The 15,051-nt window shown below is 52.9% G+C and overlaps 1 protein-coding gene across 11 annotated transcripts in view, besides 7 other annotated features; it reads left to right on the forward strand.

Moving 5' to 3' along the window:
• MX2 (MX dynamin like GTPase 2) overlaps positions 1-15,051 on the forward strand; it is a 47,367-nt gene that overhangs the window by 11,682 nt on the left and 20,634 nt on the right. For 6 of the 11 annotated variants that reach the window (NM_002463.2, XM_024452080.2, XM_047440780.1 and 3 more), the window contains 4 exons: positions 3,128-3,447; positions 4,081-4,273; positions 6,309-6,443; positions 8,702-8,856. In NM_002463.2, coding sequence (NP_002454.1) covers positions 3,199-3,447; positions 4,081-4,273; positions 6,309-6,443; positions 8,702-8,856 — 732 coding nt within the window. In that variant the 5' untranslated portion in view covers positions 3,128-3,198. Of the gene's footprint in view, positions 1-26; positions 420-3,127; positions 3,448-4,080; positions 4,274-6,308; positions 6,444-8,701; positions 8,857-15,051 lie in introns of those variants that run through there. The other 5 variants (XM_011529573.3, XM_047440781.1, XM_047440782.1 and 2 more) reach the window with 2 other exon arrangements.
• Positions 861-1,005: an enhancer, noted in NCBI's record as "145 bp 21:42746568 sequence used in MPRA reporter constructs". NCBI's record gives its function as "activates a minimal TATA-containing promoter with rs376364 allelic activity by MPRAs in C283T melanocytes {active_cell/tissue: C283T}" and the evidence as "EXISTENCE:reporter gene assay evidence [ECO:0000049][PMID:36423637]".
• Positions 861-1,023: a biological region, named in NCBI's record as "melanoma risk locus-associated MPRA allelic enhancers 21:42746568 and 21:42746578".
• Positions 879-1,023: an enhancer, noted in NCBI's record as "145 bp 21:42746578 sequence used in MPRA reporter constructs". NCBI's record gives its function as "activates a minimal TATA-containing promoter with 21:42746578 allelic activity by MPRAs in C283T melanocytes and UACC903 melanoma cells {active_cell/tissue: C283T | UACC903}" and the evidence as "EXISTENCE:reporter gene assay evidence [ECO:0000049][PMID:36423637]".
• Position 933: a transcriptional cis regulatory region, noted in NCBI's record as "rs376364 or 21:42746568 MPRA-significant variant associated with a GWAS melanoma risk locus at 21q22.3". NCBI's record gives its function as "allelic transcriptional activity by MPRAs in C283T melanocytes {active_cell/tissue: C283T}" and the evidence as "EXISTENCE:reporter gene assay evidence [ECO:0000049][PMID:36423637]".
• Position 943: a transcriptional cis regulatory region, noted in NCBI's record as "21:42746578 MPRA-significant variant associated with a GWAS melanoma risk locus at 21q22.3". NCBI's record gives its function as "allelic transcriptional activity by MPRAs in C283T melanocytes and UACC903 melanoma cells {active_cell/tissue: C283T | UACC903}" and the evidence as "EXISTENCE:reporter gene assay evidence [ECO:0000049][PMID:36423637]".
• Positions 4,862-5,363: an enhancer, noted in NCBI's record as "H3K4me1 hESC enhancer chr21:42750497-42750998 (GRCh37/hg19 assembly coordinates)". NCBI's record gives its function as "activates a minimal SCP1, AML or CMV promoter by ChIP-STARR-seq in naive H9 embryonic stem cells {active_cell/tissue: H9 hESC(naive)}" and the evidence as "EXISTENCE:reporter gene assay evidence [ECO:0000049][PMID:30033119]".
• Positions 5,364-5,863: an enhancer, noted in NCBI's record as "H3K4me1 hESC enhancer chr21:42750999-42751498 (GRCh37/hg19 assembly coordinates)". NCBI's record gives its function as "activates a minimal SCP1, AML or CMV promoter by ChIP-STARR-seq in primed H9 embryonic stem cells {active_cell/tissue: H9 hESC(primed)}" and the evidence as "EXISTENCE:reporter gene assay evidence [ECO:0000049][PMID:30033119]".

A 15,051-nucleotide genomic window follows, 5' to 3' on the forward strand; every position in this document is an offset into this window, starting at 1 on the left:
TTTTGGAGCCCCCCAGGAGAAGGGAGGACTTCAAAGACAGAAAGAGAGCTAGGCACCAAACCTCAAGCAGGCCTTGCTTTCCCAGACTCTCAAACTTAAAAAAAAAAAAAAAAAAAAAGCCAGACAGAGACAGGCAGGTGTCCTCCCAGCCGGGCCTCGATGGCTGTACTGCACCCCCCTCCTAAACAGCAGGCGGGAACCAGCCCTGGGACAGGCTCCACACACTCACTGAGCACCGCCTCCTGCACAGCGCAGTCCCTGCTCTCAGCCTGAGCAGGCGCAGCAGCCCTGCCCTCCCAAGAAAGGGGATGGTGAGAAGCCTAGTGTCCCCTCCACAGAGACCAGCGCCACACATGACAGCCACACATGACAGTGTTGGTACCAGCACTCAGTCTTTGAGCCACAAGTGCTTATAAGATGTAAGTAATAGTACGGAACCCTCCCACATCCTCAGGAGGAACGGTCAGCCCCATTTTCTAGATGTGAAAACTGACACCCAGAGAGATTTCAGCACATGCTCTGGGTCCCCGGGTCCCATGCACAGCCCTTGTGCTGGACGGCCCCAACCCTACTTTCTAATTCTTTATCCTAAACCCGGACTGTGGGCCTCATCTTAGGGAGATGGTGCTGCCACCTGCCTCTGGAGGACACTCTGCCTTGGCCTAGTCCTGCCCTGCCCCTCGCCGAGTGGAGCCTCCACAGAGGCTTGTGCATGGCTTTGGGATCCCGGGCGGCAGGAGTAGGGTCTGGGCTGGTGAGCAGGGACGGGGAAGGCCCCGACAGCAGACCCCATGAGGATGACTGGGCTCCATCCTACGTGGACCTTCTAACGAGCCACATGGAAGCATGTCCATCTGAGAGGTGGGAGAAGGAGGAAGTTGTCCCCAGTTGTCCCACCTCAGGATGGGAGGTTGCCCCAGGGGCTAGCTTCCCACTTCTCCAGGCTGCCATGCTGAAAGCCGGCAGGTGTCGCAGGTAGCAGATGTGGCAGGTTGCTCGAGGGAGAAACTCTGGACGCATGAGATTCAGTTGTACAGAGCCTGAGTCCTGTGGCCTGGCCCAACTGTCCCAAAGCCCCAGCACTCTGGCTGTGTGTAAACCTTACCTCTTCTTCATGCCCTTCCTGGTCCATGGCTGTGTCCTTTATTGTACCTGGTCTCCTTATCTTCAAGGGTGCCCATCACACCACTCTCCAGCTCAGAACCCTCCAAAGGCCTCCCTCACACCCACACACAATGCAAGACCTCTGCCCACATCTTGCAAGCCTTTTTCCTCCCTCTTTTTCACCAGTCACACTGACCATCTTCCTATTCCCTGAGCTCATTCCGACCTCAGGACCTTTGCACATGCATTTCCTCTGCGGGAGAGGCTGGTCCCCACTTCCTCCAAGCCTTGCTCCTCTGCCCATTCCCAGGCACACCCTCCAGTGGGCACCCAAGTTACCCTCACCCCAGAATCTCAAGCCCACCACCTGTCTTTCTCCAGACACTCCCTTGTCACCTGGAGCCTGGTTGGTTGGTATATTTGTTTTGGCATTTCCCTGCTAGGATGGTGTGCCAGGAGTGAGGGCTTGGTCTGACTTGATCACCACAATAACCACGTGGTGGAAAGTGCCTGGCACATTCAGAGTCGTACCCTTGTATGAGTCTGCTCAGGCTGCCATGGCAAAAGACCACAGACTGGGTGGCTTAGACAACACACATTGGTTCTCTCACAGCCCTGGAGGCTGGAAGTCCCAGATCAAGGTGTCGGCAGAGCTGGTTCCTTCTGGAGGCCCCAGGGGGAATCTGTGCTCTCCTCCCAGCTCCTGGTGGCTGTGGCAGAGGCCTTGGCATTCCCTGGCCTGGGCTGCAGCACTGCAGTCTCTGCCTCTGTCTTCACAGGCCCTTCTCCCTGTGTGTCTCCAGGTCCCAAATCTCCCTCTGCCTGTCTCTGATAAGGACACCTGTGATGAGATTTAGGGCCCATTCTAAATCCAGGATGATCTCATCTCAAAATCTTCACCTTAATTATATCTGCAAAGAGTCTTTTTCCAAAAAAAAAGTCATGTTCCCAGGTTCCAGGTGAACATAAATTTTGGGGGGACTGTGGGGACACCATTCAGCCTCCTAGATCCACATTACTACTAGAGGAAAGGGGGATACAGTGTGATCCAGAGTGTGGGGGGCTCCTGCCCGGAGCACAGGCCCAGCTCTGAGTCCTGGCTTAGGCGTCATTGGCCCTCCCGGATGTCAGTTTCTTGACCCTGAAAATCCAGATAAGGGCCAAATGCATAGGCTTGTTGTGAAGCTTAAATGTATGTCTCAGCATGGTGCTGCCCTCATCTGAGTGCAGGCCACAGCCTGAGAACTGGGGCCCAACACCTGCTTCTCCCACACTCCCCTGGTGCCTGGCCAAGCCCGGGTGTGAGGCCAGGTCTGGCTTCCAGCAGGCCCAGGAGGTGCTGCCTGTCATCTCTGCACACCTAATGGTTCTCCTGCCTGGTGCTGAGCCACAGAGACCTGATGCCATAGATGACACAGACCATCAGAAGTGACAAAGGAGACTGGGTGTGGTGGCTCACGACTGTATTCCCAGCACTTTGGGATGCTGAGGCGGACGGATTGCTTGAGCTCAGGAGTTTGAGACCAGCCTGAGCAACATGGCAAAAAACCCATCTCTATAAAAAATACACACACACAAAAAAAACTAGCTGGGCATGGTGGTGCATGCCTCTAGTCCCAACTACTCGGTAAGCTGAGGCAGGGGGACTGCTTGAGTCCAGGGAGGTTGAGGCTGCAGTGAGTCCTGATTGCACCACTACACTCCCCCACTGGGTGACAGAGTGAGACCCTGTCTCAACAACAACAACAACAACTACAAGTAGCAAAGGAACATTGAGACTCTACTGGGAATGTGGAGTCCACTGCCCCCCGTTCCCCAAGCCCGGGCCGGTAGAAATCCACTTGTGCTCTGTGGCTGCCAAGAGCCCCTCCTGCAGACAGGGGCCCTGCACTGGACCCCTGGTCTCTGCATCTGTGTGTAGGGGGTAGGTTGTAGGGTGGGGTGAGGAGGGGTTGGCAAAAGTGCCAACTCAGGGAGGACTTCTGGTGACCTGTGGGCCGCTCTCCCTCTTGTGTCTTTGCAGAGCTTGTCAGGAAGATCGGAGGTGCCAAGTAGCAGAGAAAGCATCCCCCAGCTCTGACAGGGAGACAGCACATGTCTAAGGCCCACAAGCCTTGGCCCTACCGGAGGAGAAGTCAATTTTCTTCTCGAAAATACCTGAAAAAAGAAATGAATTCCTTCCAGCAACAGCCACCGCCATTCGGCACAGTGCCACCACAAATGATGTTTCCTCCAAACTGGCAGGGGGCAGAGAAGGACGCTGCTTTCCTCGCCAAGGACTTCAACTTTCTCACTTTGAACAATCAGCCACCACCAGGAAACAGGAGCCAACCAAGGGCAATGGTAAGCCCGGTGGAGGGACGTTCAGAAAGGGTGCATTCTGGCTGCCGGTGCAGAGGGCTGTCATGTAAGCCCACCACAATAATAGAACCAGCCAGTCTGCTCCTCCAGCACAGCTGATGTCTCCAGCTCTCCTGGTCATGCCCAACAAGTACCAGGAACATACATAGACTCTCCTGCAGCAACGGGCTGCTGCGACGTGGGTCTGGGGCTTCTGTGTGCGGGGGTCCCCTTCCTGGAGCTTTTCTTTCAGCCTCCCCTGCAGCCATCACATTGCCAGCCCACCCACTTGCCACCCTCCCCAGCTCTGCAGCTCCCCAACCCAGAACCTCTCCTCCCTCTGGCTGGAGTCTCTGCCTCTTGGAACTTCTTCCTGGCTCAGTGCTCCCAGCCCCTCCCCAGGAGGCACACCCTGCACACCTGCAGCCAAATCCTCCCAGCATCTGCCCCTGTGAGGCCTCAATAGGAACAGAACAGAAGGGCCCCTGAAAGCAGCAGCACCCCTCCATCCACCTTCTCACCTCCTGTCTGCAACCCAACCTAACATCATAGCCGCACAAACTCTGCCACACATCTCCATGACACCAGGGACCCTATCAGGGGTCAAGGCAGTGGCATCTGTTCTGCCTTCTCCAGGGGCCCGAGAACAACCTGTACAGCCAGTACGAGCAGAAGGTGCGCCCCTGCATTGACCTCATCGACTCCCTGCGGGCTCTGGGTGTGGAGCAGGACCTGGCCCTGCCAGCCATCGCCGTCATCGGGGACCAGAGCTCGGGCAAGAGCTCTGTGCTGGAGGCACTGTCAGGAGTCGCGCTTCCCAGAGGCAGCGGTAAGTTCAACGGACCACCTTCCCTCCGCAGCAAGCAGCGCCACCTGTAAGCCACAAAGCTTCCCCAGGCACCAAGAGGTTTTAGAGACAGGCTGCTGGGTGAGAGAGCTGGGAAAGACAGGACGCTGGGAGAGAGGCCGCTGAGAGAGACAGGCCACTGGGAGAGACAGGCCGCTGGGAGACAGGCCTCTGGGAGACAGGCTGCTGGGAGAGACACGTTGCTGGGAGAGACAGGTCACTGGGAGAGACAGACCATTGGGAGAGACAGGCTGCTGGGAGGGACAGGCCATTGGGAGACAGGCTGCTGGGAGAGACAGATCACTGGGAGAGACAGGCCGCTGGGAGAGACAGGCCACTGGGAGGGCCCTAGGAGGGCAGCTTCTCAGGCCTGGTGGCAGGGGGCTGGATTCCCCATACATGTTTAAATAGCTTTCACTGCCCGTGTGTCAGTCAGGTGCAGGGACCTTGCCACCTCTTCCTAGTGGTCTTTGTAAGAATGTAGAAGCATTTCTTTGATAAGTTGATAAGTTTTAGGTGACAGGCGAAGCCTTCTTAAAGAATTGTCTCAATGTTTTGAAAACCTCTTATTTAGGATCATGATATGAGACACCTTTTCCTTGAACAAAAACTTTTAAAAGTCTGTTTAGAGTGAAGAAGCTGTTGTACATTCATAATTTAATAAAATAATTATAAAGGAAAATGATAAAGGCGGTACCCTCAGAGTGGGTACTGGAGAGTGTTTAGAAAGGAGTTTTTAGGTAAGCAGGGCATAGGGAAGCCAGCAAGAAGGGGGTGGGACAGGAAGGGGAGCAGCTTCCAGAACCCAAGAAGGAGCAGCATGCAGGGGCCCTGGCAGGTGCAGCGGCAGCAGAGAGCGCCCAGCTCCTTCTCCTCCCTGGCTCCCCTCTCCTGCCACTGCTGCTTACTTCTCAACCCAACCAGAATGCTGGGGTGGCCGGGAGGCATCTGATGGTTTCTCCAAGGTTGCCCAGAGCAAGGTGGGGCTGCTGGAGGGCTGCCCGGACCCTGCACAGCCCCCTGCAACAACCGCAAAGCCACAGTGAGCCTGGGAGAGTGCCCCTCCCCTGGCCTCCCTGCTGCCACCTGCAGCCTGGTCCTTTACCCAGCGTGTCCCGTAAGATGGCCATCAGCCTGGGCACAAGGCAGGAGAGAGTAAGGGTGTGGGATGGCCAGTCCTTCTCCGTGCTCTGGGTTCAGCATTTGGGGCAGTGAGACTACGGGGTGGAGAGTCTGAATGCCAGAGGGCAGGCACGGGACCCTGGGCGAGTCCCATAGTTGGAAGACGGGACAATACCTCCCTATAGGGCACGGGACAAAGGTCGCGGGTTCTCAGGGCTTCACGGCAGGAGCGTGAGGGCCCCCACCCCAAGGAACTCAGCACCGCTCCCACCTTTCCTGGGTTCAGTAGCATCGGAGGATCCTGCCTCAAAGGGCACTATCAGGATTCCCCTTGCTCCTCCTTCGGGATGTCCGGCTTCTCCTCCAGGCTTTCACCACCTTCTTCCCACTCCTTGAGAGGGGTTCCATGGCCCCTGGATGGGTCTCACTGCTCCACATTCCCGCCATCCCCCACCCCCCACACTAACCAGGGCTGCCCACCGGGACAATTACAGGGCCTGGGGCAGACACCTGACATGCTGACTCCAGCTGCAGAAAGACGGGGAGCCTGGACATGTACCGGAGCCCCAGCATCTGCCTCCATCACTTCCAGGGCAGTGTGGTGGGGGCTATGGCTGTGGTGAGGACTGTGGCTATAGCCACTTGCTCATGTCCATCGGAGCTCAGGGTGCTTACTCCGGCAGCGAACACTTCCCAAGGATAGCAGCACCTCCCAGGGCCCTGTGCCCCTTTGCATCTGCTCAGTCCAGACCCCCTCACCTACTACCAGGCCCCAGGGAGAGCCAGAAAGTGCAGACGAGGCCTTTGGGGACAGCAGGGCAGGTTCTGGGAGCGAAGGGCCCAGTGCCACTTCTTTAAAAGGAAACTGAGGATATTTGGGGAACCTCTCGCTCAGGAATCGTAACCAGGTGTCCGCTGGTGCTGAAACTGAAAAAGCAGCCCTGTGAGGCATGGGCCGGAAGGATCAGCTACCGGAACACCGAGCTAGAGCTTCAGGACCCTGGCCAGGTGGAGAAAGAGATACACAAAGGTGGGCCCACGTCATTCTGAGGTTCGGATCTGGCAGCCGCTCCTCTCACTTCCTCGGTTCCTTCTCCTCTTCCTCAAGTCACCCCCACAGTGACCACTCAGCTCCTAGCCCCATGTGCTCCCACATGGGGCTGAACCCATTGCTGTCACCTCCACCATCCCTCCAGGTCCTTGTCCAGGTCCCCTCTCATCGAGTCATCCCATGCCGAGGACCCTCTGGTGGCTTCCCTTAGCAGCCTGCAGCCCACGTGGCTGGCCTTACCTGTCCTCTCCCGCTCCCCGCCAGCCCAGGCTTTCTCTACTCCACAGGGTACTCGCCCTCTCTTCCTTCCAGGTTTCTCCCCTTCACCTGCCCAATCCCTACTCGATCTTTGGATCTCAGGTCACCTGCGCCCCCTTTGGAAATGCTGCTGCAGGACCCCTGGTCCCACCCCAGGTGTCACAACCATGGCTTGTCTTCCTGAAGTTCAGCTCTAACCCTGGCCAGCCACCTTGTGGCCACCTTTCCTCCCAGCACCCCCTCCAAATGCAGACCCCTCTCACCCAGCTGTGGAACAAGTTTCCCAATGCTTGTTCTTGGCCATGGCTGATCAGAAAAGGCTCAGTTGCTCCTGGAGTCCACACCCTTCTCCCCCGAGGGGCCCTAGTGGTTACGTCCCTTGGAGTGCACAGCCCTGCCTGCCCCAGGCACTGGAGCCTCTCAACCTCCCTAAAGGCTTCTCCCCTATCCTGCCTGCACAGCCTGTCCTGGACTCAGCCAGGATAGATGGAAAAACAATCCTGAATGTACTAAGACTCCCTGCAGGGAGGAACTAAGTCCAAGGAAGGCCTTTTGCATTACTGGATAGCAAACTCAGTGTCTGAGCGGGGGCCCTTTAGACGACCCTGTGGGCTCAGCCCTTTCCCACAGAACCCCTGTCTGCCTGGATCAAATGGCTTTCTGGAGGAATCCCTTCCCAAATAGAGAGGTCTTCACTCCAATTTCCGTGTTCACCCCTCTAAAACAGAAGCTGCTGGATACCCTCAATTAGCAAGTTTCCTAACTTCAAATTGCAAAAGGTCTGCACCCCAGCTGTGCCCACCACAGCTACTGTGGTGCTCCCAGGACATCTTGCAATGTTCGTTGACATCTGTCTGGAGTCTCACCAGCTGTGAGCTCTGTGGGGCAGGGCCAGGAGAGCTGTCTCTAGCAGACCAACAGCACACCATATGTGCAGGCTTGGTCAAAGTTTTGGGTAAGAATGAATAGTGAGGGCCAGGCGCGGTGGCTCAAGCCTGTAATCCCAGCACTTTGGGAGGCCGAGGCAGGCGGATCACGAGGTTAGGAGATCAAGACCATCCTGGCTAACATGGTGAAACCCCGTCTCTTCTAAAAATACAAAAAATTAGCCGGGCGCAGTGGCAGGCACCTGTAGTCCCAGCTACTTAGGAGGCTGAGGCAGGAGAATGGCATGAACCCGAAAGGCAGAGCTTTCAGTGAGCCGAGATCGTGCCACTGCACTCCAGCCTGGGCGACAGAGCGAGACTCTGTCTCAAAAAAAAAAAAAAAAAAAAAAAGAATGAATAGCGAGCAAACCCAAGACAAGACATCTTTAGAATAGCATCTTGGAACCCCCTCCACTGCTGGTGGGAATGTAAGTTGGTGCAACCACTTTGGAAAACCATCTGGCAATCTTCACTAAAGCAGTTGGCAGGAGGCCATACTTCCTTACCTTGTGGACTTCTCCATAGCTACTTAGTGTCCCTGTGACATGGCAGCCAGCTTCCCCTAGGGCTAGTCATCCAAAAGGAATCAAGGAGGAAGCCATGATGCATTTAGGAACTAGTCACACACCATCACCTCCACTGCATGTATTCATTAGAAACAAGCCCCTATGTCCAGCCAATAGACTGGGTGCTTTTGGAGGGAGGAATGTTGAAGGATTTGTGGACATATTTTAAAACCACCACAGCACTCACTGGAAAATGCTAAAAAGCAGGAAGAAAGAGAACAGAACCCATCCGCAGTCCCATAGCTAACATACCAGAATCTTTTCTTCTCGTCTTTTGGAAAGTGTAGGTCTGTGCACCTACATATTAAACAGCCATCTTGGTGGCTTCTGAGATCCCTCTGCAGGCTTCTCTGAAATGTTTTCTAAACACCAGGGACCTACTGAAGCTCTCATACCCTGGAAAGGAGCAGTCATTACCTTCAGGAACTGCTTCCTCACAGGGATCATTAATGAGGGCTCTGGGTTTCTCCCCTCCTGGCCTCCATAGCCCAGAACGTCATGGCCGGGAATGGCCGGGGCATCAGCCATGAGCTCATCAGCCTGGAGATCACCTCCCCTGAGGTTCCAGACCTGACCATCATTGACCTTCCCGGCATCACCAGGGTGGCTGTGGACAACCAGCCCCGAGACATCGGACTGCAGGTGAGCCCTTCTGGAATTTGGGATTGGGCTCTGCTGAAGTGGGGGAAGGGTCAGAGGTCCCCAGGGTCCTGGTGTACCTCCTGGAGCCTTTACACTGAGGGATGAGGATGGAGTCTCAGGTAAGACCTGCCCAGGTGGGGGCCTCATGCCCAGGTTCTGACTTGGGCTTGACAAGTCACAGAAAAAAGAGAGTTGGACTCCAGGGGACTGGCAGGCATTTGGGATAGTGTACGCCCTGCCCAGTCATTCAGGACTGTGAACCCGGTGTGATCAGTTGTGATCAGTTGTGCTGATAGTCAAAAGCGGGCAGAAATTTGGATTTTTACATGAAATCTGTCCATTTTGGCAATATTTTAAAAAATGAATGTTACATAAGTCATAACATGGACTGTGGTCCTGGTCTGGGCAGGAGAGGCACAGGGGTGAGGGAGGGCGACCGGGCAATAAGGACACACATCAGCCAACAGCAGGGCTGTGGCTTCTCTGCCAACAACCTACCCATCTAAACATGAGGCCAGGCACGGTGGCGCATGCCTGTAATCCCAACACTTTGGGAGGCCAAGGCAGGAGGATCACTTGAGGCCAGAAGTTCTAGACCAGCACGGGCAACATAGTGAGACCCTGTCTCTGCAAAATATAAACAAAATTAGCCGGGTGCAGTGGTACATGCCTGGGGTTCCAGCTACTTGGGAGGCTGAGGTGCTAGGACCACCCAAGCCCAGGAGGTCAAGGCTGCAGTGAGCCATGGTTGTGCCACTGCACTCCAGCCTGAGTGACAGAGAGAGACTCTGTCTCAAAAATAAATAAATAAATAAACCTGAGGTTGCCTGAAAACATAGTCCTCGCTCAGGTGCCTGAATCAAATGTGGTCCAGGAAAACTTGTGCATACCCTGTTTGGGTTAGGCCAGTCCCCGGACCAGCCCTGTCATGCTTTGGCAAGCCAGCTCATGTGGAAATGAAGGAGACAGAGTCGATGCCAGGGCAGGGGAAGGCTGGGGAGATGAGGCCCTCCTTTGCTAGAACTGAGGCCACTTTCCTGGCTTCTTCCATTTTGTGGGAGACAGTGGCAGTGTTGACAACCCAACCACAACCAAATTAAGGGGTGGCAGCCCTAAGAGCCTCCTGGGTGGGGTCTTCACTAGCTCTGCTGTTTGGGGCAAAATCTTGGTTAGTGATCTTCCTCAACATCCAAATCGCCATTCTCTGTCTCTCTAAGAGCAGGGAAATTAGCTCGTATCACTTGCTGAGTTAAGTGATGAATTCCATATTTCTTAGCCCTCCTAGGAGGGTGGCTGATTCATCCATCAAGTTATGGGATTTCCTAGAGACTGCAAAAGATCCTTGGGTGGTGATATGGTTTGGTTCTGTGTCCCCACCCAAATCTCATCTCAAATTGTAATCCCCACGTGTCAAGGGAGGGACCAGGTGGGAGGTGATAGGATCATGGGGGTGTTTTCTCCCATGCCGTTCTCGTGATTGAGGGAGTTCTCATGAGAGCTGGTGGCTTTAAAGTGTGGCACTTTCTTGTTCTCGCACACATTCCCTCCTGCCGCCTTGTGAAGAAGGTGCCTGCACCCCCTTGGCCCTCCCCCATGATTGTAAGTTTCCTGAGGTCTCCTAGCCATGCTTCCTGTTAAGCCCGTGGAACTGCGAGTCAGTTAAACCTCTTTCCTTTATAATTACCCAGTCTCAGGTAGTGTTCTTTATAGCTGTGTGAGAACGGACTAATACAGGTGGGATCAGAACATGCAGCTTCCTCCTGCCACTTCATCCTCTCCTCTATGGAGGATACACATGATTTGGTCTGAGACAGTTTGATCTCAAACAGTTTCATCAAAAGCAAGTTGGTTGAGACGGCAAAATTTTTCCGTTGTTGTAAATATTGGGGGAAATAAGTGTGCGGTCTCTCTAAGCTTTTCATTTATGTTTCAGATTTCTAAAGGGCTTTGTTTCTCTACATTCTTTTACTTCTAATTATCAGCTCATAATTACAGCCACGTGCCCTATGGGACTGGTTAATCCCTAACAGTGAGTTATGATGCACGTTGTACAGTGTGCTCAGTTACCAAGCCTTGACCTGGTGACCAAAAAGAATTCTATCTGAAAGGGTGGCAGTATACGAAAACACTGCCAAGTGAACAAGTGTTTTATAAAAATTAATTAGGTTCCAGCTACTTGGGAGGCTGAGGCTTGAACCTGGGAGGCAGAGGTTGCAGTGAGCCAAGATCGTGCCACTGGACTCCAGCCTGGGCCACAGAGTGAGATTCTGTCTCAAAAAAAAAAAAAAAGAATTAAAAAACTAATTAGGAATAAAATGCCCTACCTTAAGTTTCTTTTGTTTCTTTAATTCTTGCTTAAATCATTACAAAGGGATTTTGTTATTGAAATTGTCAAGATAGAACAGGAAGAATAAATGTTATTTTATGCCCCATCCCTGTTAACATGGAGTATATAAACCTGCAAGTGGCCTTCTGTGAGTGTGAGTGTGAGTGTGTGTCTCCTTACCTGTCTCACTGTCTTATCATCCATGTGTTTACTGGAGTAGCACTTCTAATTTCTTTCAAGAATTTTTCCTTTGTATTCAACACTTAGCTAACGGGTTGGCACAAGCAGCTTAGCTTTTGGCCTTTACATGCCTTTCTCACTAAACTCAATCATTTCTAGCTTTTAATTTAAAGTAAGAAACATGCAACTTTTCCTTTTAGTTGAAGGAAGGCCACTGATGGTTTGGCTGTGTCCCCACCCAAATCTCATCTTGAATTGTAGCTCCCATAATCCCCACGTGTCGTGGGAGGGACCTGGTGGGAGGTAATTGAATCATGTGGGCAGGTCTTTCCCGTGCTGTTCTCTTACTAGTGAATATGTCTCATGAGATCTAATGGTTTTATGAAGGGCAGTTCCCCTGCACACGCTCTCTTGACTGCTGCTATGTAAGATGTGCCTTTGCTCCTCCCTTCCATCATGCTTCTGAGGCCTCCCCAGCCATGTGGAACTGTGAGTCCATTAGACCTCTTTTTCTGTACAAATTTCGCTGTCTCTGGTATGTCTTTATGAGCAGTGTGAGAACAGACTAATGCAGCCACTCTATTTAGAGGCCACTATAGAGCTATTAATTGGCCTAATTTTAATATTGTGGTGCCTCAGGGAATAGAGAGAGGGAGAGAGGCTGGGGAGCCGTCATAACACAGGCAACATTTATTAAGTTATCTATCTTATATGGGCCTGCTCCATAGCACCCCAAAACAATTATAATAAAAACATCCAAAATTGATAATCACACATCACCATAACAGATAGAATAATAATGAAAAAGTTGGAAATAGCACAAAAATTACCAGACACAGAGGCAGAAAGTGAATATATGCTGTTGCGAAAAGTGGCACCAATAGGCTTGGTCAACTCAGAGCTGCCACAAACCTTTGATTTGTTAAAAAAAATACAAATAAAGATAAGGGCTGGGCACAGTGGCTCACACCTGTAATCCCAGCACTTTGAGAGGCCGAGGCGGGTAGATCACCTGAGGTCAGGAGTTTGTGCCTGTAATCCCAGGAGGCTGAGGCAGGAGAATCACTCGAACCCGGGAGGCGGAGCTTGCAGTGAGCTGAGATCACGCCACTGCACTACAGCCTGGGCAACAGAGTAATACTCCATCTCAAAAAAAAAAAAAAAAAAAAAAAAAAAAAACAAATCTGCAAAGCACAATAAAGCGAAGCACAATAAAAGGAGGTTTGCCCGTGCACACTCTCTCCACATCTGAGCCTTCTCAGGTATAAGTGCTGCCTTCAAGAGAGAAAAAAATTTATGTTTTCTTAGAGCAAACTGCATGAGAGAACAGGGTCACAGGAGTTTAGAGGAGCAATGAAAACTGTCATTGTGGCTGTGAGAGGCTGGGAGTGTGAAAGAGTAGGGAGTAAGAACTGTTATGGCAGAGGGAAAATTCGGATCAAGACCAGTCTGGGAATCCATCCCGAAACATCTCCTTCTCCATCACCTTCCCACCCTCCTTGGCCCCCTGTAGTCTGTCCTAGACCTCTCTCCTGCAGATCGGGGCCTCCAGGTCCCACAGGCTCCCTGGAGCCCCAGGGTCCTGCCCTACCCAACCTGGCTGAGGCCTCCAGGTGGCCTGTCTGAGCACCAGGAAGCCATTGCTGGGAATTCCTCGATTCTTTGACATTGTCCTCCACGTTCCTGGGCTTGTGAAGGAACATCCTCCTCCATGTTCCTGGAACTTCAGCCTTTGCTTGGCTCAGGAGCCTGAACTCCCCAGGATGTCCAGGAGTGTCCGAAGGAGAGAATACAGTCACAGGTTCTTAGTTTCTGTTTCTGGTTGGGCCAGTAAAGCCCCTTCCTCATCCCACTTTTCCACTTACTACTAAAGACAGAAACCAAAAACCATGGCTTCAGGCTGCTAAAAACCTAAAACAAAACAGAACAACAACAACAACAAAATAAGGCAGGTTGGACAAGCTTAGTCATAGAGTCAAAGCTTCCTGCACGCAATCGTGTGCCTTTCTGGAGTCCCACCACGCTTTCCCTTCGTATTTTTGTGTCTCTTCTCAGATTCTTCATTGTCTTTGATTTCCAAAGGCACTGCCAAGGTCAGACTGCTGGTCATGTGCACCCTGTGTTCCTCCCCTCCCGGTCTTCCTGAGAAGTCATGGAAATCTTAGCTCCTCCAGCAAGAACACATGTGTCTTTCATTTGAAAGATTCATGCCTCTCCTCCATGTGAAAGCCGATTAATGCTCATAAGGAAGGGGGTGGGCTCTATTCTTGGCCGATTTGTCTCCCCAGACTGTCCCTGTGAAAGGTCTTTCTGTATTCACGGCCTCATTGTACGACTCCACTTTCCCGGCAACAAGTGCTTGGCAGTGTTCACCCACCAAATGTGTTAGTTTTCAACTGCAATTGATCACTTTCTCCTTCTTGAAAGTCTTCTTCGCTGGCATCTGGGCACATTGACCCTGGTTCTTTCTCTCCCTCCTGTTGGTCTCTCCTTAAGTGAATTGTTCCTCACTTCCCTGACCTCCAAATGTTGCAATGCCCTAGAGATCCATTCTTCCCATTGAAAACTCTCCCTGCTATGTCCCTGAACTACAGCCCAGTCTCATGACTGTAAATACCACTTCAGCGATTCCTAAATCATTATTTCAAGCCCAGCTCTCTCCCCTGAAATCCAGGCTCCTATCTCCAGCTGCCGATTCACCAGTGCCCTTTGAGCATCTAATCGGTACACAAACTCAGTGGGTCCAAGCAACACCCGATCTTCCCCCCAGTATCTGCTGGCCCCATAGACATCCCCGTCTCAGACAGTGGCACCTCCACCCTCCCAGTGGCTCAGGCCATGACCACTGGGGTCAGCCCTCCCTTTTCTCCTCCTCTCACACGACACGTCCAGTCCACCTACAAAGCCTGCTGGCTCTGCTTCAAATAACACACCCAGGCCCACGTCTCCTCCCACTTCCACCAGCACCCTCACCTAAGCTGCTGCTATCCTGAACCTGGGTTACCGCCTCTGCTGGCCTCCTGCTGGGTTTCTCTGCCTCTGCCCTTCCCGGCAGCACCCATCCCAAGAATGTTTCCCACACAGCTCTTGTGTTTTAAGGCACAAGTCAGATGCTATCATCCTTAAAGTTCCCCAGCGGCTCCCATGTCAATCAGTGTAAAATTCCAAGGTCCCATGTGATCCAATCCCCCTACTTCATGGACCACATTTCCTGTCACTGCGCCTTGGCCCCTCGCTCCACCCTACCACATCCGGGTTCTGCGGCCCTTGGTCCCTCTGGCTCACTTTTGCCTGGACTCTTGCGTGTGCATGCACGCTTCCCACTGCCCGGTGCTCTGCCCGCATGGCTCTCCGCAGAGGGCATCCTTCATTCCTCGCGGGTTTCTGCTGCAAGGCTGCCCTACCTGGGCTGCCTTGCCTGACATACTGTTCCCCGTGCCTGGCTCTTTCAATTCCACTTGCCCTCCCTGATATGTCTCCATTGTGTTTATTGCCTGTCTCCCCTCCTGGGCTGTAAGGCTCTGGGGGCGTATGCTCAATGCCGAGTCTCTGAACCCCAGGATGGGCCCCACACCTGGTGGGCACTGCTAATGTTTGCTGCATGCACATAACGTGCTCTTTATGGTCACCCCCTCTCCAGGCAAACTGTTCCGGGGAGCATTTTCACTCTCTGATATCCTACATGAATG

Source organism: Homo sapiens, chromosome 21 (assembly GCF_000001405.40).
Source record: "Homo sapiens chromosome 21, GRCh38.p14 Primary Assembly".
Taxonomy (NCBI): domain Eukaryota; kingdom Metazoa; phylum Chordata; class Mammalia; order Primates; family Hominidae; genus Homo; species Homo sapiens.